The sequence below is a fragment of the Homo sapiens genome, chromosome 3, assembly GCF_000001405.40.
Source record: "Homo sapiens chromosome 3, GRCh38.p14 Primary Assembly".
NCBI lineage: Eukaryota > Metazoa > Chordata > Mammalia > Primates > Hominidae > Homo > Homo sapiens.
Window position 1 is genome coordinate 123084185 of NC_000003.12, and position 23434 is coordinate 123107618.

At 49.3% G+C, this 23434-nt stretch overlaps 1 protein-coding gene across 4 annotated transcripts in view, besides 3 other annotated features; it reads left to right on the forward strand.

The window, feature by feature from the left end:
• The window catches only part of PDIA5 (protein disulfide isomerase family A member 5), a 95080-nt gene that overhangs the window by 17160 nt on the left and 54486 nt on the right, over positions 1-23434 (forward strand). For all 4 annotated transcript variants that reach the window (NR_028444.2, XR_007095629.1, XR_007095630.1 and 1 more), the window contains exons 2-6: positions 4984-5110; positions 8171-8258; positions 18227-18310; positions 18567-18612; positions 22565-22657. Coding sequence is in view for 1 of the 4 variants with exons in the window: in NM_006810.4 (NP_006801.1) it covers positions 4984-5110; positions 8171-8258; positions 18227-18310; positions 18567-18612; positions 22565-22657 (438 nt within the window). In the remaining 3 variants the exon portion in view is untranslated. The remainder of the gene's footprint in view (positions 1-4983; positions 5111-8170; positions 8259-18226; positions 18311-18566; positions 18613-22564; positions 22658-23434) is intronic.
• Positions 63-697: an enhancer, noted in NCBI's record as "H3K27ac-H3K4me1 hESC enhancer chr3:122803094-122803728 (GRCh37/hg19 assembly coordinates)". NCBI's record gives its function as "activates a minimal SCP1, AML or CMV promoter by ChIP-STARR-seq in primed H9 embryonic stem cells {active_cell/tissue: H9 hESC(primed)}" and the evidence as "EXISTENCE:reporter gene assay evidence [ECO:0000049][PMID:30033119]".
• Positions 698-1333: an enhancer, noted in NCBI's record as "H3K4me1 hESC enhancer chr3:122803729-122804364 (GRCh37/hg19 assembly coordinates)". NCBI's record gives its function as "activates a minimal SCP1, AML or CMV promoter by ChIP-STARR-seq in primed H9 embryonic stem cells {active_cell/tissue: H9 hESC(primed)}" and the evidence as "EXISTENCE:reporter gene assay evidence [ECO:0000049][PMID:30033119]".
• Positions 14894-15615: an enhancer, noted in NCBI's record as "H3K27ac-H3K4me1 hESC enhancer chr3:122817925-122818646 (GRCh37/hg19 assembly coordinates)". NCBI's record gives its function as "activates a minimal SCP1, AML or CMV promoter by ChIP-STARR-seq in primed H9 embryonic stem cells {active_cell/tissue: H9 hESC(primed)}" and the evidence as "EXISTENCE:reporter gene assay evidence [ECO:0000049][PMID:30033119]".

Below are 23434 nucleotides of genomic sequence, written 5' to 3' on the forward strand. Positions count from 1 at the left end.
CTTCATGGGATACAACTTATCCTTCTTCTGACCCTGTGGCACTTCCTTGCACCTTCCCATTATCACCGCAGCTCCTGTGCTGGGTAGACTTTCTCTCCTCTGCAGCCTGGCTTCCAGCTCCCGCCACGTGTACTGCTGACATTCTCTCCAGTGTTCCCAGGGACTTCACAGCCTTTGGCCCTGTCCCAGCCTCCCCACTCTGACTGCCTGTGGATCACTCTCTTTTCTTTAGAAGTGTCCCCTCCCTGGTCTCTGTGGACGCAGCCCTCCCCACCTCCCTCTTGGTCCTGCCTCCTCCCTCACTGAGGGTGTTTCCTGTCTCCTCCCTCTGAGCCCGGTCCGTGGGGACTTCATTTACTTGGTGGCTCACCTTGCAACCTGGAGGAGGCCTGTATTTGATGCCTCACTGTCTACCTGTCCAAAACCTGAGCCTATTATCATCTTCCTTAATGTAAGAGAAAAGCCTCCTCTGCTGCTGCTTCTCCGTTCTTCCACCTTTGGCTGTTGTTGCAGTCTCCCAGCCCGGAATTCTAAGAGTCATTTTAGACTTTTTTACTCTTTCTTCCTCACTTACCTATGAATAGTCATTGGGTTTTGTTGTTTTTCCCTCTGAGGCTTTTGCATTGATCTGTGTCTCTCCACGCGGGCAGCCACCCAGCAGGGCCCTCCACCTCCGGCCTCCCTGGCTGCTGCCCAGTCTGAGGTCACGGCCAGATGAGTCTCTACAATATACTGTGTTCATCCTTTCACTCCCCTGCTAACTGGGCAATGATGCTTCCCACTCTCTTCCTGCACCAGGCCAGGTCCTTGGGCAGGCTTTGAAGAGCCCAGCCTGCCCCCACTGCCTTCTGCCATGCTCTAGCCCAGACACCCCCTGAGCTGTGGTCTGTGTGGCTTCCATCGACCCTTCTGGGCCTCCCAAGGGCTGCTGTGGACTCACCCCATCACATACTGATAGTGGGTGACCTCTGCTAAGGCCAGGAGTGTGGTAACAGTGTAATTTGTCATGTTTATAATACTGGTCAAACATTTCCTGAGGGCTTTCAATGCGCCAGGCCTTGTGTGGGGGCCCTGCCCTCCTCCAGAGCTCTTAATCTTGGGGATGGGGGTGAGGGTAGGGAGGAGATGGATCCTTCATTAGGCTTCAAAACCGGATTGGCTATGGGTGATGCCCAGTCTGAGCCCCAGTGTCATGCCCAGTGATGGTTTTCAAGCAAAGTAAATTTGCTCAGCGCGTTTCTGGTTGGGCTTAACTTCTCTACTGTGTGACTCCAAATGCTGGGTGAGGGGCTTGGCTGACTGGCTGGAAGGTGGTTTGTTTAATCTCATTGGCCCTGGGTTAGATGACCTGCGGGATGGACTGGGTTTTATGGGAAGGAAGCTGAGGGTGTGCTGTGAGCCTCAGCCTCTAGTGGTTTCTCTTGTACACACTTTGTTGTCGCTGCGGCTCAGCTGCACACACCGCTGCCTGGGCAGATGAGCTCTGGGCTCACCCTCCCTCCTGCCTTCCCCTTTCCTTCTCCCCAGTTCCAGAAGCGTGGGTGCCTACCAGCCTCAGGAGGGGCTGGACTACAGGTCAGAGTCCTGAGGCCCTGGGCAAGAGCAGTTGTTGCTCTCCGCTGGTCAGATTATCTGAGGATTAAAAACAGCAGTGAGGCAATGTGTTTTTCCAACAGATTATTTTTTTTCCCTTTAATCATGTGCATTGAGCTGTGGAGTTTTCAGTCTGAAGTCCGTTAGCTCCCTGGGAGTAGTAGGATAACATGTAATAATAATAAAGTTTAGCAGACTTTTTGGTGAGCTCTTAAGGTGGCTTGCATAAGGGCAGCGGGTCCTCAGACATTTTACCCTGCTCTGCAGGGTGTGATGAGGGAGAAATCATTCCTTGGCTTCCTCCTGGATGGGTTTACTCTGGGAAGAGGGAAACTTTGAATTCCAATGGCAGATTATATTTAGAAACACTAGAATATGGTAATGTTTCAGTCTTCTTCTCTGCTGAGATGGAAGTTTGTGTTATATATTATGGTAACTGATACTCTCAGAGTGCTTTCTGATTTATAAAACACGTTCAATAAATTATCCCATTTCATCCTCATATCAATCCCACGAGGGAAGTATCATTATCTGTATGTCAGACAGGAGTCACTAAGCCTGTAAAAGGTTGAGTGACATTGGCTAGGCATCTTAGCTATTGAGTGATGAGGCTCAGACTCAATCCAAGACTTCTGACTGCAAAAAGGCAGGAGGCTGAGAAGGCGTGACTCATATTAGAAAGACTGGGATTCAGATCCTGGCTCTACTTACTAGCTATGTAATTTTGGTCAGATTATTTTTAAAAAAATTTTTTCTGGCAGAAATTAACACTCCTCTCAGTATGACCAAGCATATCAAATAAGCTATGGTTGCCCCTTTTTATTGACCATGTTCCTCCATGAGCTCCGTCGTTGCTCTGTTCTGGTCTGGTTGCTCTGCAGGCTGTTGAACAGTTGTCATCCTGGGATTTCTCTTCACCATCAATGTGGTAATCCTTTTGCCTCTCTCTTTCATTGAATTCTTTGTTTCCTAGTTTCCATGTCTAATTTTTCATTTATTTTTTGTTGTAGTGGAAGACGGGTCCCAGTATCTTTCTGAGAAAGGGTGCGCTGGTGGTAAATGTTATACATCTGATATTTTCATCTGTTCAAGTCTATTTTCATGATTGGTAGTTTGGCTGGTTACAGAATTCCAGTTAGAAATCATTTTCCTTGAGAATTGTGAAGCCAATGCTTGATTGTCTTTTGTGTGCTGATGAAGTCTTATGCCAATTCTGACTCCTGATCTTTTGTATGTTGTATTTATTTTTTCTTTGAAATGGTTAGGGTCTCCCCTTTGTCAGCAGTGTTCTGAAAGTTTTCAGTGATGTATTTTGGTAAGAGTCTTTTTATTCATGATGCTGGGCCCTGCCAACTGAAGACTCATATCCTTCAGTTTTGGAACATTTTCTTCAACTATTATTTTAATTTATTTGCTTTTTTAGAGATTGAGTCTCACTGTTGCCCAGGCTGGCCATGAACTCCTGGGCTCAAGTGATTCTCCTGCCTCAGCCTGCTAAGTAGTTGGAACTGCAGGCATGAGACGTTGTGCCAGGCTTCAAATTAATTTTTTGATAATTGATTTTCCTCTTTTTTTTTTCTTTTTCTTTTTCTGGAGTCTCTTTAATTTGGTTCTTGTGCTTAATGGGTCCATTCTCTTATTTTTCTTAAGTCCTTTTTTATTTCTTGATCTTTTTGTTGTATTTTCTAGGAGATTTTTTTTTTTCAATTCTACTTCCAACCCTAATTATTTCTGTGATAGTTTTACTTTCCAAGAGATTTTCACGATTCTCTGAGTATTTATTTTTCTTCATAACATTCTATTCTTATTTTATGGATGCACCATTTTATTTCTCTGAGAATAATAATTTTCTTGTTTTCTTCTGTTCTTTTAATTTTCTTTTTCTTCTACATTTCATCTTTCCATTGGTTTGTTCTGGTCTCTGTCTTTTGTAACCGGTGAACCTTGATTATCTGTCTGTTTTGAAGAGCAAGGCACTAGCACATTGACTGGCAGCTCTGTGAGTGTGTGGAGGGAGTGGAGAGTGCTTGTTTACTGGGAGAGCCTCACAGTGGAGATTTGAGCAGGAACCCAGCTGTTTCAATTGAGGATCTCCAAATCACTGTCTTTAGGTTGTTTTTCTTATGCTCCTCAGTTTCCCCAGAGGGAAATTCTCTAATCTGTTGCCTGGGGAATAAGACTGGCAGGTGGCATTCCAGAGAAGGGAAGGGAGATGCTGGGGGCTGGGAGCTTGGAGGAATGAGTGATCTCAAGGTTCAGTTTGTAGACTTTCTTTGAATCCCCCTGTCTTTTCTGAGGGCCATCCTCCCACCCTCTGCCGGGTTATCTCCCAGTGGAACTTTTCTTACTCAATCTCTCCATATAGTAACCCTCTTGCTTTCTGACAGGTGGGCAAGGGGCTGTTGCCCAGCTGTGCAATCTGGGCAAGGGGATCTGCTTTGTGTCTACTCCTTATTCACACTTTTAATAAACCCCCACCCATTGCTTTTAGCCCACCCTTCATTGTGCCTGCAGAGGTGCCTGATACCTCCAGTTCCCGAAGTTTTCCAGGGTTCTCTGGGGGAGAATTGGCTCATTTCTTGTTGACTGACCTCCTGAGATCACTTGGCTGAGTAAGAAAAGCTAAAAACCTCTCACCCATCCATTCCCATCCTAAGCATTAAGGGATGATCTTATTTCTCTGTGTATTTTATGCTTTGGTGCTTCTAGATGGGATGGAGTTTTTACTTTGCCCCAGCATATGGCATTGTGGTAACATGAGGAATATGGACAGACATTGACCTCCCAGGGGGCTCTCGACTGATGTGTAACAATGCAGAATGTTTATACAAACCTCCCTTGGTATCCTTGAGGGATTGGTTCCAGCATCCCGCCTCCACAGGATACCAAAACCCATGGATGCTCAAGTCCTTTATATAAAATGGCATGGTATTTGCATCTAACCTATGCATGACTTCCTGTATACTTTAAATCATCTCTAGATTTTTTATGATACCAAATACAATATAAATGCTAAGTAAGTAGTTGTTATACTGTATTGGTTTTATTGCTATTATTTTTTACTGTTATCCCGTTATTTTTTATGTTTTTCAAATGTTTTCCATCCATGGTTGGTCAAATCTGTGGATGCGGAACCTGCGAGATAGAGGGCTGACTGTATATATCTGCAGTCCATACAGCCTTATAAAAGTGCCTGGAGGGGAAGGGAGACTGGGAGTGGGCTGGGGAGTGTCCCTAGAGGTGAAGAAGTAGGTGTGGTGCATGAGATGTGTTGGTTTGCCCTCATCCTCTGGAAGTAAAGCAGCTCTAGGCAGCACATCCATGGGCACCGATTCTTCTGGGGCCCAGCCAGAAGCTGGAACTCACAGTCGTTGGCTCCTTGATCCCCAGGTGGTCCTGCCATCATGGCTGTCCTCTGCAAAGGTCTCCTCGCTCATTGAGAGAATCTCTGACCCCAAGGACTTGAAAAAACTGCTCAGAACCCGGAATAATGTACTGGTGCTTTACTCCAAATCTGGTGAGTGTCCCTTCCTGGCCTTGAGGTCAACCATCGGGGTAGGATGGGATTCAGGGGAAGGAGTGGGAGGCAGGAGACGTTAGGATGAAAACCACTTAGGGAGGGTCCAAGGGACATGGGGTTTGTCACCTTTCCTCAGAAGACAGAGGCAGAGGCACACAGAGGCATTGGCTCTGCCACTTTCTGATCCGAGGGGGTGGTTCCATTTCTTTTTTATGACTGTTTGTTGGGAAAGTCCTCTGGAGCCCCTCACTCCTCAAGAGGGAGAGGGCGTGTGTGAAGTAGGACAGAGGATCACAGTGGCGGACACTGGGCATGGATGTCCTGGCTTCCTGCACAGGCATGGGGCCGAGCCCTGCCAGGGCATGCTTCACCAGAGCTGTTGATTAACTGGCCAGGCCGGCCTGTTGCCAGCTGAATGGGTCCCAGGCTTGGAAGTACTCACCCCAGCTGGCAGCCCTGGCCCTGCCCAGTCCATCTGTCCTGCTCTGGGGTCAGATGCAAGACTGAATTTGGAGTGGGCTCTAAGCTTGGGTCACAGCATTTCTTGGGGGCAGGAGCAGCGGCCTGCCTCTCTTCTGACCTTGAGGCTGGCAAGGACATAGCAGATGGAGAGAGGTTTGCTTGGCTCTTGGCAGTGACTTTGGGGGAGGGTGAACGCTGACTCTGTTGAAGTTGTTCCAGCAGAGTTAAGTGTTTTTTGCTGCTTCTAAGGATGCCAAGTTTTCTGTGGCCCTGGAGAAGCAGCAGCCAGTGGCTGGCCAGTTCCGGGCAAAGTTTTCCCCGGCAGCTCGGCCTCAGCACTCACTGGCACCTGGGGGATGATAGAGGCTCCAGACGTGCCTGCATCCTCCAGGCATCCCTGGCACGTGGGATGTGTTCATTGCCACTTGCGGCTGCTGCTTCCCCTTCTGGCACACATGCCCCGAGTGCATTGTTGGGAGCCCAGCATGTGACTAGCATTCCTCTGCTGTCAGGAATAGGGGCGAAATCAAGGGAAAGGGGAAGCAGTGTCCTCTTGAGGCCTGGGGCATAGGGCCCTGAAAACGTGTGGCTTGCTGCCTTGGATACTCCCGGAGTTGGAACTAGGAGGACTGTCAGTGATAGACACGCTCCATTCCTTCCCTAGGGTAGATCCCATCATATAAGCTCATCATAATACAGTCTCATTGGCTCCTTTGCTGTGAGGGAGGCAGTGCAGGTTGTCAGAGGACATCCAGTATACAAATGAGGAAATGGAAGCTGGGAGTAGCGGACTTGTTTGAGATCTTCCAGCAGCAGGTGGGAGCTGGTCCCCTATGCCCCGCTGTCTCTCATTTTCTCTGATGGAGGATGGGAAGAGAGTATTGATTCTGCAATGACAGAAGGGCTTTGAGATCAGGTTGGGGCTGAGGCCGGAAAATCATTATGGGAAGTTAGAGAGTGGAAAGGTGGGGCCCTGTTGTCAGGCGCTTGCAGGGCAGGAGGTAGCACCTAAGCTCTCTTTCCCTCACCCGACCCTGTCTTGAGCCATTGAGAGTAGAGCCCCTGGTGCTTCCCACTTGTCAGCCTACCTCCTGCTTTCATTGCCTGATGGGGCCTGGGCAATTATTTTAACTTCCTGCCTCCTTGCCTAGGCCTGCTGCACGAGAGACATGTGACCTTCAGTGGGGCTTTTGAACAGTGCAGAAACTGGATTTTCTTTGCTCCCTCCCATCCTTCCAAGCAGTGCCTCCCTTTCCATGGCTAAAATGCAGGTTAGGGCAGGGGGTACTTTATCTTGCTGTAGTTTATTTCTCCCCCTCCCCTGCTTCCCAGAACCCAGTCCCAGCAGTAGAACAATGGCTTTCCCCACATCAGTGGCTCGCCCTCCTCCTGTCACCCTGGCTGTGGTTTCCTGGGAGTGCCTTCTCCGAGTGACTCCATGCATGTCTCTTGAGCGATACTTTTGTTTGCTTCTGTGAAAGGCTCAGCATGCTCTGTATTCACAAACAGCTACCATTATCCACACTAGAAAAGGCGATCTGCGGAGGCACATAATTCAGACATCATTTCTGCTTGGCTTGGGGATGTATCATATGGTTTTTGGCGGGAGAAAGCAGCAGATCGCTCTCCCCACAAGTCTTTGTCTGGCAGGCCTTTCAAGTGAGCTCACAGGTGTCGCCTAGGAGAACGTGACTCAGGAGCCTGCTGGCCACAGGAATCAAACACTGGCCACAGCCACTTTGCAGTGGATCATTGCAGGCTGGCAGTGCTGAAATCCTGGCCACAGAGGCTCTGTCCCTAAGACCCTGCCCTCCCACAGTAGTATCCGGGTGCCTTGCCCTGACCCATCAGGATTGACATCTGCACCAATGAGAAAGTCTTCCTTTCTTGTGATCACTCCATCCTGTCCCAAGGCATGGTCCACATTCCTGCAATTGACCCCTGGAGGTGCTACCAGGACCAGCTCTTGCCCCGTGGCTTCTGGGGAAGTGGGCTGTTAAATGTGGCTTAGGTGTCTTTGGCATTGGCCCATCAGAGCCTAGTGTCACTTATAGACCTCATTTTATCATCAGGTTGTACTGAGCTCCTAGATGAGCGTGTGCTGCACAAGTAAAGGAAGGATCTGATCCTAGCTCTCGTCAGCTCCTAGGTGGGGCATCAGGACAGATGAATGTGGAGTCAGCAACATCATTCCCTGCTTTAGTTATAGGATTGTCATTGTTTATGGAATTGTCAAAATGTATCCCAGAAAGACATGAGTCGGAGACTTTACTGGCCTTGAGGATCTGGCTGAGAGATTCTTGGAATAGTAAGGTGTGAGGTGTGGATTAAGGCAGGGTGACTTGGGGGTTCTGTGTCCAAGAGGAAGGCCCCTGAGTATGGTGGGATCAGGGGTTTCTGAGAAGAGCCAGGACCATTCTTGCAGCACAGGCCCTGGCACTGTTGAATGCAGGGATGGGTGTTTTACCTGGTGCTCAGGACTTCTCCACCCCCTCTAGGATTGGTCTCCATCCTTCCTCACCCCTGAGGGAAGATAGCAGACATGACCCAGTGCCCTTGGTCACAGATGTTTAATTTTTTGTTTTTTTTTTACAGAGGTGGCAGCTGAAAATCATCTCAGGTTACTGTCCACAGTGGCCCAGGCGGTGAAAGGACAAGGGACCATCTGCTGGGTGGACTGTGGGTATGTGCTGGGGCCATGTGCCATGGTGGCTGCTGGGCAGAGGGGCACTTGGGGCTTTGATTGGTGGGGACAGGAACTGTCTCTTGATTAATAATCTGGGAGAGAGGATGCGATGGAAAGATTCCATCTAGTGATACTTCGAGGTCACCTCTGGACTGGAAGAGTGGTGTCTGGCTTTCCACCCCTTTCTTCCCAGCCCAGCCCCATTTCTTCCCTTTTTCCGTAGAGCTTTCACTTTCTTCTATTTCCATGTGTTTCTTTCTTCTGTCTTCCCAGAGGGAGGTGAGTGGCAGAGGGGGCCTTCCTGTCTTACAGAGGGTGGCCTTGATACCCCGAGAGGCAAGGTGATTTTCAAGGTTACCCAGTGGGTTTGCCTGTGGTGGGTCTGCAGCAAGAACCATGAGCTTTACCCCCAACCCAGGACATTACCACTAGACGCCTCTGCTGCCCACCATGCAAAGGTAGAATCAGTGGGTCAAGCTGTCTATGCCTTGGCTTCTGAGGGGGCCCAGGCCTATAAAGGTCTTCTAAATCTTTAATGTAGCTATTATTGCCTGAGTCATAAGCCCTGTTACTACCCTGCAGGTTAAGCGAGCTTTTATGGCACCCACTCCAGTGTAATCCTCTTCCTCTTTAGTCTGAGTTCTAAATGGTTACTTTTCGAGTGAATTTTTGGGACATAACTGATTTATAAGTTGATGACCTCAAGTTTGTTCTGCCTGTGATTAGAGAGCATTGAAGGAGATTCATATTTTGACAAAGCACTGAGTGAAACTAGGATAATAAGTCTTAGCCAAGTGGTGTGTGCTGTAGAGGGTGTGTGTGTGTGTGTGTGTGTGGCCTCATACTTCCAGATTCATTCAGATACTAACTGAACAGAAAAGGTTGCTCACCAGGCAGTAGGTGAGATCTTAGCCATTGGTTAATTCTAGTTCATAGTTGGTCCAAAAGTGTGCTTGCCTTGACCAGCTGTGCTCTGTGTGACTGGCAAAGTAAAAAGCCTATTAAATGAAGACAAGGCACTTTGGAATTTCCATATCTGAAGATGACAGCAGTTCTGCCAAGCTGATGGAGGCTTATTGTAGGGAGTGCTTATGAGGCTTGTAGGTGGCAGAAATGGGCAGAGGAGCTTTGACTTAGTTGTTGTCTCCACCTGGGTCCATGTAACAGACATTACTGGGCATTTACTATGTGCTTTGAGAATACGCAGATGGATAACTGCATCCTCAAGGAGCTCAGTGTGTGAGGAGAAGGCAGACACTTAGCCCAGCGATTACAATGTCAGGTGAACAGTGCCACAAACACAGACTATATGCATGGAGGGAAAGCCCCTCCATTCTTCCTGGAAAGGTTGAGAAAAGCTTCACAGAGGCGGTCGAGTTCACATTTGGTGGCAAAGACCTCGGAGCACAATACCACGCGCTCACAGTGCCCTGGCTTTCCCTGCAGGCAGCCACCTATGGAGTGGGCCCCCAGAACTGCCTGTGGAGGTGAAAGGCCTGCTGCTGTCCCTGAGCGGCCTGGAAAACATGCAGCGCAGGGTGCCTGAGTGAAATGGGGTCAGGAGTAGTGGCTGAAGACAGACTATGGAGATTCAACTTCAGGACTCAAGTTTGGAAACATGATGTCTAGAGTCAATAAAAGTGCCAATGAGAATATCCTGTGAATTTCGATGTGCTCAAATTAAAACTGGGGCAGGGAAGCACCTTGGAGCTTGAAAGAGTTAACCTTAAGACAGAAGGATGGACTATTCCATGTAGTTGCCTCGCTGTGTTGAATTTATTCCTGTAAGAGGAAATAGAAACTGAAATGTTAGATAGCTTTTAAAATAGTGTGGACAAGTAGGTGAATTATGGAGCCAAAGTAGATTAAGTTGGACTCAGGAATATCTGGGTGTGAGTTTGAAATTAGAGTCAGGGTGCAATCTTTCTGGAGTAGCCCAAGGTTCAGAACTCTGGGCTGTGGCCCATGTAGGCCACTCTAGGCGGCAGCTGTCACGAACCACTGTTAGAAAAGGAGATCTCCAAGAACCCAGCTCCTGCCCTCCAGTTCATTCACTCCTGCTCCTAGACTTCTAAACTTGCCTGTAATCATCAGGGCATGGGGAGCCCCCGTGTCAGCTCCACAGAGCCCTGCGTTGACAGCTCTCGCAGTTTTCCTAAGTGTGTCCAGTCCGTGTCTGTGGGTCTGTGAATGAGACACACCCAGGGATGGGCAGAAGTGGTGCTGGGAACTTTGCTTTCTGGTGCTGTCTGCCGAGGAACGAGTAGGTGGCACGGGGCCATGCTACCTTCTTTATCCTTGTCACTGTGAAACAGCAGGTAGCCAGCCAGAGCTTGCCTCCCTCAAATGGGCCCTGCTGAGGCACCCATCTCTCATCCTTTCCAGCTCTACTTCCTTCCCTGCCCACGAAGGGTTGGTGGCTAGGATGGGGACAGGGCTTGGGGTTGGGGTGACCAGGAAGGTCAGGAGTGCACAGGCCACCCTGCTTTTCCCTTTAAAAGGCAGGTGAGGGGAACAGGGAGCATCTGGGGTGAGAGAAGAAGCTGCTCCAGTGTTGAGGTGTCTTTGCAGGTGTGTGGAATAAGGGAGAAAGCCTTGGGCTTAGGAGGGGGCCCGGGCTGACTGCTAACTAGTTAGTTAGCTGCGCTGCTCACTAGCCCTGTGACACCGGGCAAGTCGGTCACTCTGACTCTGTTTCCTCAGCTGTGAAATGGGACAGCGATATGCGTTCTGCCTTCTTTCCAGGTCTGTGATAAGGATCGGGTAAATGAAAGTTCTTTATAAAATAGGAAATACAATTTAAATGTGAGACACCATTCTCCTAGTGTTGTTTTTCATCTAGACAAGTTTGTTCAGGAGAAAGCTGGAGGGGGAGAAGTGGTATGCTTGTTCACTCAGCAACTGTTTACTGGGTGAGGATCCCTTGGTTCTTGTAAGGATGAACCTGAAGAAGGTTTTGGGCATGGGAGTGAGCCCCAGGCCATGGGTGTTTTGCTCTGACCCTTAAGAAGTACAGGGTGCAGGCTGGGCACAGTGGCTCACACCTATAATCCCAGCACTTTGGGAAGCCAAGGCAGGCGGATTACCTGAGGTCGGGAGTTCAAGACCAGCCTAACCAACATGGAGAAACCCCATCTCTACTAAAAATACAAAATTAGCTGAGTGTGGTGGTGCATACCTGTAATCACAGCTACTTGGGAGGCTGAGGCAGGAGAATCACTTGAACCCAGGAGGTGGAGGTTGCAGTGAGCCGAGATCACGCCATCGCACTCCAGCTTGGGCTACAAGAGCAAAACTCTGTCTCAAAAAAAAAAAAAAAAAAAGTACAGGGTGCAGTGCAGTGGAATTTGTAGGACTAAATGTCAGAAGACCCAGCTTTGAGTCCAGGCTCTGACATCAAATAGCTGTGGGGCCTTTGGCAAGTCACTGCCCTTCTCTGGGCTTCAATTGAATCTTCTGGGAAATGTGGAGTTGAGTCTTCCAAGTTGCTCTCATCCCTAAATAGCCTGGTTCAGAAAATGCTGGAAGCTGCCAGGCTTGGTGTGTGTGTTATAAGCGTGGCTGTGGGCGTGTGCCTTCTAGTCTTTCAGGGGGGTCTTTTTGTGCCCCTCCCTCCCCATTCCCCATTTTGGAAGGGTGCCTATCCTTCTCTCTGAGGTTCTCTCCTGTCTCCTTCTTTTCTCTCCCCTTATTAGGTTTCTATTCCCTTTTCCCAATCCTGAGTCCAGGACTCCCCCTGCACCGCCCCATTGCATGGCCCTTTTTGTTTTTGAGATGAGGTCTCACTCTGTTGCCCAGGCTGCAGTGCAGTGTCACAATCTCGGTTCATTGCAGACTTGACCTCCCGGGCTGAAGCCATCCTCCCAGCTCAGCCTCCCCAGTAGGCGCGTACCACCACGCTCAGCTAAGTTTTGTATTTTTTTTATAGAGACCAGGTTTTGCCATGTTGCCCCGGCTGGTCTTGGACTCCTGGGCTCAAGCAATTCACCTGCCTTGGCCTCCCAAAGTCCTGGGATTACAGGCATGCGCCACCGTGCCTGGCCTGGCCTTCTTTTGGCCTCTTTTCCCCTTTCTCCTTTCTATATGGATATATATTTTCCTTTTTTTAAAAAAATTTTTTGCTTTTCTGACTCTTCCTCCCTATTCCTTTATGTGCACCTATAGGAACACACAAACACTTCTCTGCTGGTTTTCTCCCCGGTCCAGGCCCTGTAACTTGTTGCTCTGGGGTGTCTGTAGGGCATCTGACTTCTGTCTAGGGTTTTGTCAGCTTTCCTTCCCCCTCACTCCACTCTTGGCTCAGACCTCAACAGCCACGCTCAGTCTGGCTGGTGATGGTTGTCCGGCTGTTAAGCGGGTTGTGTGTGCGGGAGTTGGTATTCCCCTCGTGCCCTGCCAGCTGGGCGCTGGGGCTCGGGCTTGGCGTGGAGTGCTGCTGTCTGGGAAGCTGAGCTGGAGCCAGCATGGAGCTGTGCCTGGTTTGCTAATTCCCGAGGCTGCGTCTCACAGGGGGCAAGGCTGTCCTATCAGGTGCTTGCTACTTTCTTTTCCTCGGGGCTTAAGGTCATTGCTTAACCACATCTGCTTTCTTTCCTGCTCTCCTCCCCATCTGCTTGATTTCTCTGGAGCAGTCACAGCTTCCCAGATGCAAGACTGGGGGCCTGCCAGAGCAGGCATAACATATTTTAAAGACTTATGTTTTTTCCTAAAAACTATTTGAATTTAGCATTTGCTCCTAAGCATGTTCAACATTACTTACCAGGGGGTAAAACAGACTCCCAGAAGAACTGTCGTGTTTATCTTGTGGCTTCAGATACCTTCCAGCACACCACCATGCACTTGTTGGAGTGACACATCCCCTTGAGGAGCAGAGACTTAGAATTGCTGGGCTGGGAGGGCAGCGGAGGGGAGGCACCTTACATGTCTGCAGAGAAGCCATGTTCCTCTCTCTTTTTCCCGCCACTCTTACTAACTGTACTGTGTAATCCAGACCTTGTGATGTACCTTCTTGAGGCACGTACCAAGGGAAACAGCCAACTCAGGGAGGAGCCCTGTTGTAGGGAATCCTTCCTTCAGAGAGTGCTACGTGACCACCACGACCTGTCCAAGTTCAAGGTTCAGCTCTTCCAGGACTTCTCTCTCATTGTCTCCTGCCTTGTATCCTCTAGCCACATTCTTTCACATCATCCTTGGTACTTGGCATCAGGCAGTCACTCAGTATTTCTTGCTCAGCACTCGCCCCCGCCCCCTCCCCCTCCATTTTCTTCATGTCCTTGAAGTGAGGGCACTTTCTACGTTTCTTCTCCTACCTGTCCCCAGGGCATCACAGGTCCACCTGGCCAGAAGCTTGCCATGTTAGACCAGGGCTGGTGGGAGGAAGAGAGTTATCCCTTCTTTGATGGGGAAATGGAACTAGAGAGGCTGGGGTAGTCGTGGGCACAAAGTTAATGTTAAGGCAGGCATCAGCCTTCCTTCTGGTCTTCAGTGTAGTCTTCTTTCTACCCCACCAGGAGGGGCTGAGCGTGGTCTCCCGTGGACATGAGAACCCCAACTGTGGCTGACTGAGGATCTGGTTGGGAGGCGAGGAGAGAAATGACAGGGGTTTGGAGGTTTTTTTGTCTCCATCTTTTGCCCCAGGTTCTGGCTCCTGGTTCATGTGTCAGGATATAAGGCAGCCTGTCTCCATGCTTTATTTAGTCTGACTTGACCCCGTAGAGAAATCAAGCTCCATTCAGCTTATGTGGATAACTCCGGCATTTTGCAGCTCAGGAAACTAAGGGTCCCGCCAGAGGTCGCTAATGGCAGAGCCAGATGTTGAAGCTGTCATTCTAATGGGCTGTGGTACTTAGGCTGGACTTGTGAAAGACCTCAGACCCCCACCCTCCGACCCCGCCGTCTCCCAGACCTTGTTTTTTCTCTTTCTTCCTGCTCTCATCCCCACTTTGATCCCTGGGCCTGACTCCCAGGAGTGTGTCTCGAGTCTCTTGGATAGTAATTACTGCACAGGAAAATCCAATAAACATAGCACTGTGTACCTGCAGCAGCCACTCCCGACTAGCAGCCAGCTGTCCCATGGCAGATTCAGATGAAAACACCCATGCCCATGTGTCTGTCTGGGTGTGGGGGTGTGGGGTGGGGAGGGAAGTGTGTACAGGCATCTGCAATCTTTCCTTCCACATTCTCCATGGAAGAGAGCCAAGTGAGGTGGGGAGGGATAGGCTGGAGCAGATCAGTGGCCTTGATGCCTCATTCCTTGGAACAGTGGTGAGTAAATGGGCAGAGGGATGGCTGGTTCTTGCAGGACAGGGGCCGGGGAGTCAGGTGAGGGTCTTTGCACTGCCAGCCCTTTCTCCATGACCCATGGTGCATTCTCCATTCCCTCAATTCGAGCAAAGCATCTCGTTTTCCTGCTCACTGCTTTGTCTCCTTTCTCCCCTAGAACCTCAGTCATTGGCTGGGGGAGGGAGGTAGGCAGTAGATCAATTAATTGTACTTAATCTCTCAACTCAGATCCTTTTAAGTCTCTGAGCTTAGGTAATTTTCTCCCATACTTGAACTCTTCTGATATTCATTGTCTGCACTGCACAATTAGTGTGTGCACACATGCTTGCGCACACACACACACACACACTACTCACACTTATACATTTTGAGAGACACAACTATGAGAAGGAGGGGAGCAGTGCTGAGAGAACATTGTCAGGAATTTCAGGAATTGTCACCTGGCAGGATTCCTGGAGCTCAATAGACAGAGCCCAGAGATCCCAGAAAGCCAGAAATGCAGAGCCTCATCCCAGCAGCGGTAAGACAGTATCATTCATTTCAGCCATTCAGCCATTCAGTCAGGTGATTTATAGAGTGCCTACTGTGTGCCAGCTGCTGTTGTACCACTGGGGAGATAGCTGTGCACAAAACCAAGCCCTTGGCTTCACGGAGCACATGTTTCTGGAGCCAGTGGCCCTTTGGTGTGTGCCAGAAGTGTGCTCAGATGGGACAGGAAGCCTCCTCCCCACTCACCCCTCAGGGAGAGAGAGAGTGCAGGGGATGGGGAGAGGAGAGAATCCTTAGGAATGTTACATAACCTAACAAAGAAGGTGGCACAGAGTCTGCAGTGAGGGCTCGTGGGGCGCTTGCTCAGGTGGAGTGAGGCAGGAGGCTGTGCACCGGGCTGAAACTTGGAGGCCACGCTGAAGAACAGGCAGGGGTGCCTCTGTGCCCCCAGCTCTACCAGCCAACTTAGTTGTTTTGGAGTCTTGGTCCTAAGCCTTGCCTGGGCCCTCAGGGAACCTAAGACTGCTGTCGTGGGACTTTTCCATGGAGGGGTTTCCCACAGAGTGGACCAGGATTGGCGTGGAAATGAACCAAGCCCCTGTTTCCTCCCTCTGCTTTGTGATAGTCACAGGCAGAGGCTGCCAGCCAGGCTTGATGGAAGAGAGAGGAGCATGGGGTGGGGATTCTCCTGTCCAGTTGCTGCCTTGCAGCGTCTGAGCCCCCAGGCAGGAACTGCAGTGTGAACGGAGAGGCAATGAGCAAGCCCTTCGCAGCTGCTGGTGTCAGGATGGGGCTGATGGGGCTGAGGGAGGCCATGCACATCCCATCCCAGCCTTGGCCCCTGCCCCAGCTGCTGTTTGTTGTTGCAGTTGGGTGGACGGTAGGTGGTCACAGAAACAGTGGAGCATAGCAGAACAAAGGCCAGCGAGGAAGGTGCCATGTGAGTGGTTGTAAACATCCTGAGTTGAGCCCTGTGTCCCAGGGAATTAACTCAAACAGGGAAAGGGCACCTCGTTCGCAGTTGTTCTCAAACAGACCCACCACCTGTCCATGCAGCTTCACCACAGAGTCCCTGCGGGACGGGGCACACCTGAACTGTAATAGCAGTTGTCAGAAGAGGCATGCGTGGACCTCAGAGGGCTTAAGGATAAGAAAGTTTTCAGCGGGTGCCCTGGGCTGCCTTCTCCATTTGGAGAGCCCACTCCCAGCTTGCCCCTTCTCTCTGGACTCTATCTTAAAATGTCCTTGCCACCTTGGGGTAGGAACTATTGCAGTGTCATTAGCCTTTCCTCTCTGGATTCCTCATGCATTTCATGAGTCCCCACTGTTTGCCAGGCCCATGGCTGGAAGCTGCAGTGGCTGCAGCGATGGCTAGACAGCTGGGACTAGTAGGGAGGAAACCCCTGGGCCTGGGGGTGGAAGGGGGCAGGGAGACACTCCTCCTCTCTGACCACCACACACCTCTCCAGTAAGACATGCTTCTTGAGTTGCAAATTGCATCTTTACACTTAAAATGAGGTCCTTCGTTTTTTACATGTCCACTGATGAGTGTTGCTTTTAGAATTGAGCTGAGTGGTTTAATTAGTCCATCTGTTCTGGGCTGGTGCACAGCTGTGTGAAGCTGATGGCTGTTGGTGGAGGTGAGGCATGTAAGCAACTGGGGGATACAGCGCCTTGCCTCAGGTGGCTGTCGTACCTGTCCCAACAAAGTTCCCCAAAAGATGACTCCAGTTGTGTAGTCAGTGGTGACCAGTGGGCATTGGGTAGCCGAGATGCCCTTACTGAGTCCTTTCAGGGCTGGGGAGATGGCCCCCAGGTAACAAGAGCTCTCTGACTGGCTGAGTGCAGGCAGGATGGGGAAGCTGTTGAGAACAGGTCAGGTCTCTAAGGGACTGGTTTAGGGCACAGGGGAGCCAAACCTTATGGAGGTAGGGGAGAAGAACATGAGCCAGTGAAGGAGCTAGTCTAATGCAATGAGTGGTTTCCAAACTTGAGCACACATCAGAATCACCTAGAAGGTTGTTCAAACCCAATTGCTCAGGTATCCCCAGGGTTTCTAATTTAGTAGGTCTGGGATGGGGCTGATAATTTGCATTTCCAACAGGTTCCTGGATGATGCTGGTGCCACTGATTCAGGGACCACACATTGAAATCCATTGTTCTAACAGGCAGGGCACCAAGATGAGATGAGGTTGTGCGTGAGTGCTTTGTAAACAGGGAATGGCACCTCACAGGCATTTCTTATTGGAAGAGAGTGTAATATCCCAGATGCCAAGGGAGGGGCTCCTTTAACCACAGCCTGGCCCTTTCTCCTTTTGTCTTTTGTCAATACCTGGCCAGATTTCATAACTTCTTCAACATGGTAGCATGTTTTCCTCTTACCTTGGTCACGTAGTATATAGCAGATAGCCTATGTCAGAGCTCCAAAAACAAAAATCTTGCTTGTCCACCCCCAACAGAGATTCCAAATTGATAATCAGGGGAAGGCCAGGGCATCCATCTTTTTAAAAACTTGCCTGATAATTCTAAAGAACGGCCAGGATTGGAGTTTATTTTCTTGTTACCATGGGCTGTCCACCCACTAAGCTTCTGGGTCACCTCCTTTGTCTGGACCTGTCTGTGTTGCCACCCACAAGTTGTGACACACATGCTCCTGTCTGCTTTTCCCCTTCCTTTCCTTTCTTTCTTGCTTTTTTTTTTTTTTTTTTTTTGAGATGGAGTCTCTTTCTGTTGCTCAGGCTGGAGTGCAGTGGCATGATCTTGGCTCACTGCAACCTCTGCCTCCTGGGTTCAAGCGATTCTCCTGCCTCAGCCTCCTGAGTAGCTGGGATTACAGGCACGTACCACCACACCTGGCTAATTTTTGTATTTTTAGTAGAGACGGGGTTTCACCATGTTGGCCAGGCTGGTCTCGAACTCCTGACCTCAGGTGATCTGCCTGCCTTGGCCTCCCAAAGTGCTGGGATTATAGGCGTGAGCCCCCACGCCCAGCCTCTGTCTTTCTTGATCAGCCCCTAGCCTGCTAGTTAGTCTCCACCCTCTAGCTCTCACAGCCCATCTATAGTAAGGCCTTCATCTGCTATTGAGAATTCCAAGTTACCTGACTTATTTCTTAGGACACCAGCAGATTTTGCTGTCAACACCTTTGTGAGGACTTCAGGTAATAAATGGTTCCCAACATTTGTGTCTTCCAGTGATGCAGAGAGTAGAAAATTGTGCAAGAAGATGAAAGTTGACCTGAGCCCGAAGGACAAAAAGGTTGAATTATTCCATTACCAGTAAGTACACATGGGCATTTCCAATTTCCAAGTAAGTGCCAAATGCTTTCATTGGTATTTTCAGCGAACAGCAATTTTTAGTTAGATTAATTTTATTTCAGAATGGTTTTCTTCCTGTGTTTACAATTATTTCTTTTAAAAAAAAATCCTGAACTCCGTTCAAAAGCTGAATCTTATTAAGATGCTGCAGGAAACCAAAGGTATGTATCTTCACAACCATTCTTAAAGTTAACACATTTTTCTCCTCATTTGACAGGGATGGTGCATTTCATACTGAATATAACCGAGCTGTGACATTTAAGGTAAATTTACCTCCCTTGTTCTCAGCAATGGTGGAGTCTAAATGGACGCCCAAAGTCTGGCAGGTTTTCTCTCTGAGAAAAGAAAGGGCAGATTGCACAAATAGCTCTTCTAAATGACCTGAGAGATTCTTATCTCTAGAGCATATGTCAGCAGAATATGTGGAAAAGTTTGTAGCTCTTAACACAACAGATTGACCCAGCTTTGGAAATAGGTTTGTGAATGTATCAGCAGTTGTCCAGTAAGGCAGGTGATGTCACCTCTCTCTTTGCCAAAGGCCTGGGCCTCATTTCGTTGTAGCTTCAAAGTCCTCCCCTCATCTCTGTGGTAGTGGCCACCCTCAGGCTGGATGCCCAGGTTAGCACAGGGTATTGCACATGGGCAGGTTGACACCTTTGGGCTGATGCAGCTTGTTCCAGATGAGATATGGGTATCATTGAGGAGTTCCCTGCTATCAATCCAATTTAGAAGTAGATGGAAAAGCATAAATGGAAAGAAATATGAGATCCTGTAATCTATACATGCTTTGTAATCACAAAGCGGCTGCCCCAGCCCTTAGTCCTCCTGAACTGCAACTCTCCTCCTTCAGGGTCAGGATTCCCTTCCTCCAGCCTGTCTTCTGTTTTCTGGTCCTGCGCTGGCTGAAGCCATACATTTCTCCTGGTCCTGACGTGTTTGAACTCACTTCCTAACCCTCCTGTTTCCCACACGGGGTTGGACCCTGTGCTCCTGTCTCTTCATCTGTCCCTCTTTCTCCATCTGTGTCTCTTCCATTTTTCCTATCTGTCCATCTGTCTGTGCAGCTGTCAGTGTCCCTCTCCCTCTGCCCTTCCTTCTCCCTCTGTCTCTCCCCACCATCTCTCCAGGTCATTCTTGCTTATCCACTAACACTCATTCTTTTTTTAAATTGCTACAGCGTTCACCTTATATAGGGACTCAGCCTGATTACTCATCACCTTAACACCTACTTAGACACTTAGAAAGTTCTTCCAACTAGAGTTGCTCAGCCCTTCTTATTCTATGTTAAGACGTCAACCGAAGTTCTTGGAGAGAACACATGTTCCCCAGGAACAAGATTTAGTTGGGTGGGATGGGGGAAGTGCTTATGCAATGATGGAAAGAGGGCTGGAGTTTTGTTTTGTTATTGAAGGCTGTGTATATTTTATGTTTAACCGGGACCTCTGAGGAATCTGTCTTGGGCTTATGGAGCAGGGAGTTCTGAGCGGCTCCTCATAATTGTGGTAGCAGAGAAGAAGCAAGGAGCCCAGGTGGCCCCAGCATGCCACTGGGTGTCTGGGTGGGAGAGGCAGAATCCTGGCTTCGCCCCACTTCTTACAAAGACCAGACGTGTGAGGTCAGCGTTCTCTTGACCTTCCCGTGATTTAGGCATCAACAAGGTGAAGAAGTGGCTGAGCATCGTACGGGGCCAGAGTCTTCAGTTTCAGTTGGAGAGAGGGCACTCTTAGTCCCAGCATCCCCAAGCAGGACTGGGGCAGAATCCCTGGAGTTCTTCAGGGCAGAGGGAAGGGGACAGGACAGTTCCCTGACTGCTGATGGCTTCTGCTTTTTCAGCTTGAGACAGCTGAGATCAGAGCCCACCTCAGTCACTAATTAACTTTCCATTCAGGGTTTCTCCTGGGACCCTGACTCCAGAGAGATGGAGGACCCCCCGACAGGAGGGGCCCATCACCTGCAGGCCCATGTTCTGGCTGTGGTTTTTGTCAACCCGCATGGTTGGGCAGAAGCCTGGTCACAGACGCTGTGCCACGGCACCTAGAGAGGTCATAGGCCAGTTAAGTGAGAACTTATCTCCCCACTGGCAAAGAATAGGAAACTCGAAGTGGGGAATGTCCCCTTTAAGCTGCCCTTTCCTTGTTAGCACATACTCCCCAAATCCTTACTATAGAAGTGGTAAGGGCCAGAGGTGCCTGGCAGTCTGGATTCAGATGACTCACTGATGACCTCAGGGCCCAGTAGCTGTGAGCCAGGATTACAGCTATGAAGGCCAGATGTGGTGTCAGACAGTGCCTGGGACTCAGAGCACCCAGAATAGGACAGTTGAGGGTGGGCTTCCAGGTGCTGCTCCCTGCAGACTTTTGCCCTGAGGTCTTGTCCAGTTAGATCAACTTGGAGAGAACCTATGGGTGGGGTTATTCAGCTTCAGTTAAGTGAGAATAATCCTCACCTGAAAAACAAGGTTGTGTGTACGAACATGTCAGTTGTTACGTTAAAAGGCCATTTATCTCCTTTTTCCATCCACTGCTATCTTTTTTTCTTGATGCTGAGGTGGAGAAGGGGGAGGAGGGCTGGGCGTGGGGCCAGGACACCCCCCAGAGCAAGCAGTTCCTAACTTGTTCTGGAGTCCTGATCCCACTGAGCACCTACTGAACTCCAGACCTTCTCCCTGAAAGCGTGTGTGCATACAAATCAAAGTCAATGTTTTCACATGAGTCTGGGGCTTCACCGACTCCTGAAGTCCCTTGTGCACCCTAGATTAAGAACCCCTGCACCAGGTATTTCTGGAACCCCAGGCAGGTGGGTGCCTACCAGCATCTTTCTCACATGGCCTGGTGGACAGGTGCCTCTGCAGCTGTGGGTGAGTGTGGGTGTCGGGAAGACCCTGCCAATTCCATAGTTCCTTATGTTGTCATGGCAAAGCCTTGACAAGGGACTGAGAAAGGGTGGATCCGCCTTTTGCTGTGGCAGAAATGGCTGTTCTTTTGCCAGGAGGCGTTTCACAGCTCCACTTGGACAGGCAGGAAGCACTACCTGAATGAAATCCTATGAAGTCTTGGCTGTCTCCCATTCTCCCGTAGTAGTTCTTTCCAAATAGAGTTTCCAGAAATAATAAGGTCCTCTCCGTGTGTGACCAGTGGATGGGCTGAATGCACACCCTTACTATTATAGAAGGGCACTTCCCTTTCTCATCTCAGGCCACACACACGCACACACACACACACACACACACATACACTCTCAGTTCAGCATCTGCTCGCTGGAGCGTGGTCAAAGTTGACAGAAGTAACAGAATCTGGCTGGGGTCTGGTTCCTGATCCTGGCTCTCAGACTTTGAGCACCGTCTCTGAGTGACTGAAGGGAAAGGGAATGCTGCTTCTGCCCTGGACCAGTGAGAGTGGCAGAGGATACAGAGGAGGGTGGAAGGACAGTGCCACTCTTCCCTGCCCCTGTGCATCTTCCCCACAGGGAGTGGAGATTTGAGTCATTGTACACATAACAAAGGCCAGCGAAGCCCTTTATCTGTAAGAACTTGGTCAGATCTTCAATCCAGGCAGTCTAGAAGAGGGGCCCCAGCATGAGAAGTATAGCAACAAGGGTGAGGCCACATTGGTGCCCACCCTGCCCTGGGGGCTTCCCAGCCTGGACCTCACTCATTCATATACAGAGGCGGATAATCAGGATTTAATCCACTCCAAAACCAGTTTAGATCATGAAATACCAAGCAGGTCATAAGTAGGTATGATGATCTGCTTATGGGATGACAGTTTTAGTGGCTGCAGGAATGTGGAAATGTCTCCTTTGGACAAGACTGAGACCATTATTCCATTAGTCAGAAAGACTTCTTGGAGGAGATGAGATTTAGTAGAAGCACTAGTATGTCTCTGGTTTGAATAAGCCAACTCATTGTCTCAAATTTTCTCTTTTTTGTCCTTGAAGATGCATAGTAGGCATGGACTACCTGGCTGGAGTGAGCAAGGTGTCTTGTGATTGAAAAAGCCCGATGGGAGTGGTGGAGGTGCATTTTTGGGCACTTATCCATGATGTCAGTGGACAGCGGAAATAACACACCCTCCAAGCTTATGCCACATGCAGTCCTGAGCTCAGCAGCTGGTGTGCCCAGGTCTCCAGGCAGGGAAAGAGGACAGGTTCCTGATTCCCCCACCTCCCTCTTTTCAGGGCTAAAATGCATTTTCTCTTCTCTTTTTTTTCCCTCAGTCCATAGTGGCCTTTTTGAAGGATCCAAAAGGGCCCCCACTGTGGGAGGAAGATCCTGGAGCCAAAGATGTTGTCCACCTTGACAGTGAAAAGGTAATGTATTCCCCGTCAGTTCTGATGGATGCTGGAAGCTTCCCTGGTACCAGGGCCTCCCAAGGAAAGGAGCCCAACGAACTGAGAAATGGGACTATTCCAGGATCACTTGTACTTTTCCTCTAGGGAAGCTAGGCCAGGACCCTAATATTTGACTCCCCTTCCCAGCTCCATGTTGTAACCAGCGGTGATCACAGGTTGCCTGAGAATTTTCTCCATTCTTCACCTTCCTTATTTAATGCATTTGAACACGTTTAGATTTTCCATACATTAATGTAGATTTAAATGTTCTCTCTCTATTGTGTAATCCAGATGTTGTTAGGATTGGCTTTACATCTTGTTTTTTTGTTTTTGTTTTGTTTTTTTAAAGAATAACCTTAGAGATTTGGGTTAGATTTCCAGAGACTTGAGGCAGATCTCTACAATTCTGGGTCATTCTATAGCTTTCAACCAATTATTTACCTTCTTATGCTTCAATTTCCAAATTTGGCCAGGGGTGGAGGTAGAAGGGTAGATCTAGATTATGGTGTTTATTAGTTCTTAAGTATTTAACAAAAGCTATGACAGGCCGGTTGTGGTAGCGGGTGCCTGTGATCCCAGCTACTCAGGAGGCCGAGGCAGGAGGATCGCTTGAGCCCAGGAGTTCAAGGGTAGCCTGGTCAACATAGTGAGACCCCCATCTCTAAAAAAATAAAGAATGCAAAAGCTGTGACACACATTGCCCCTCCATCCACAGCCTGCCCACCTGACCTGAATGTGCATCTTTAGCCATGTGCA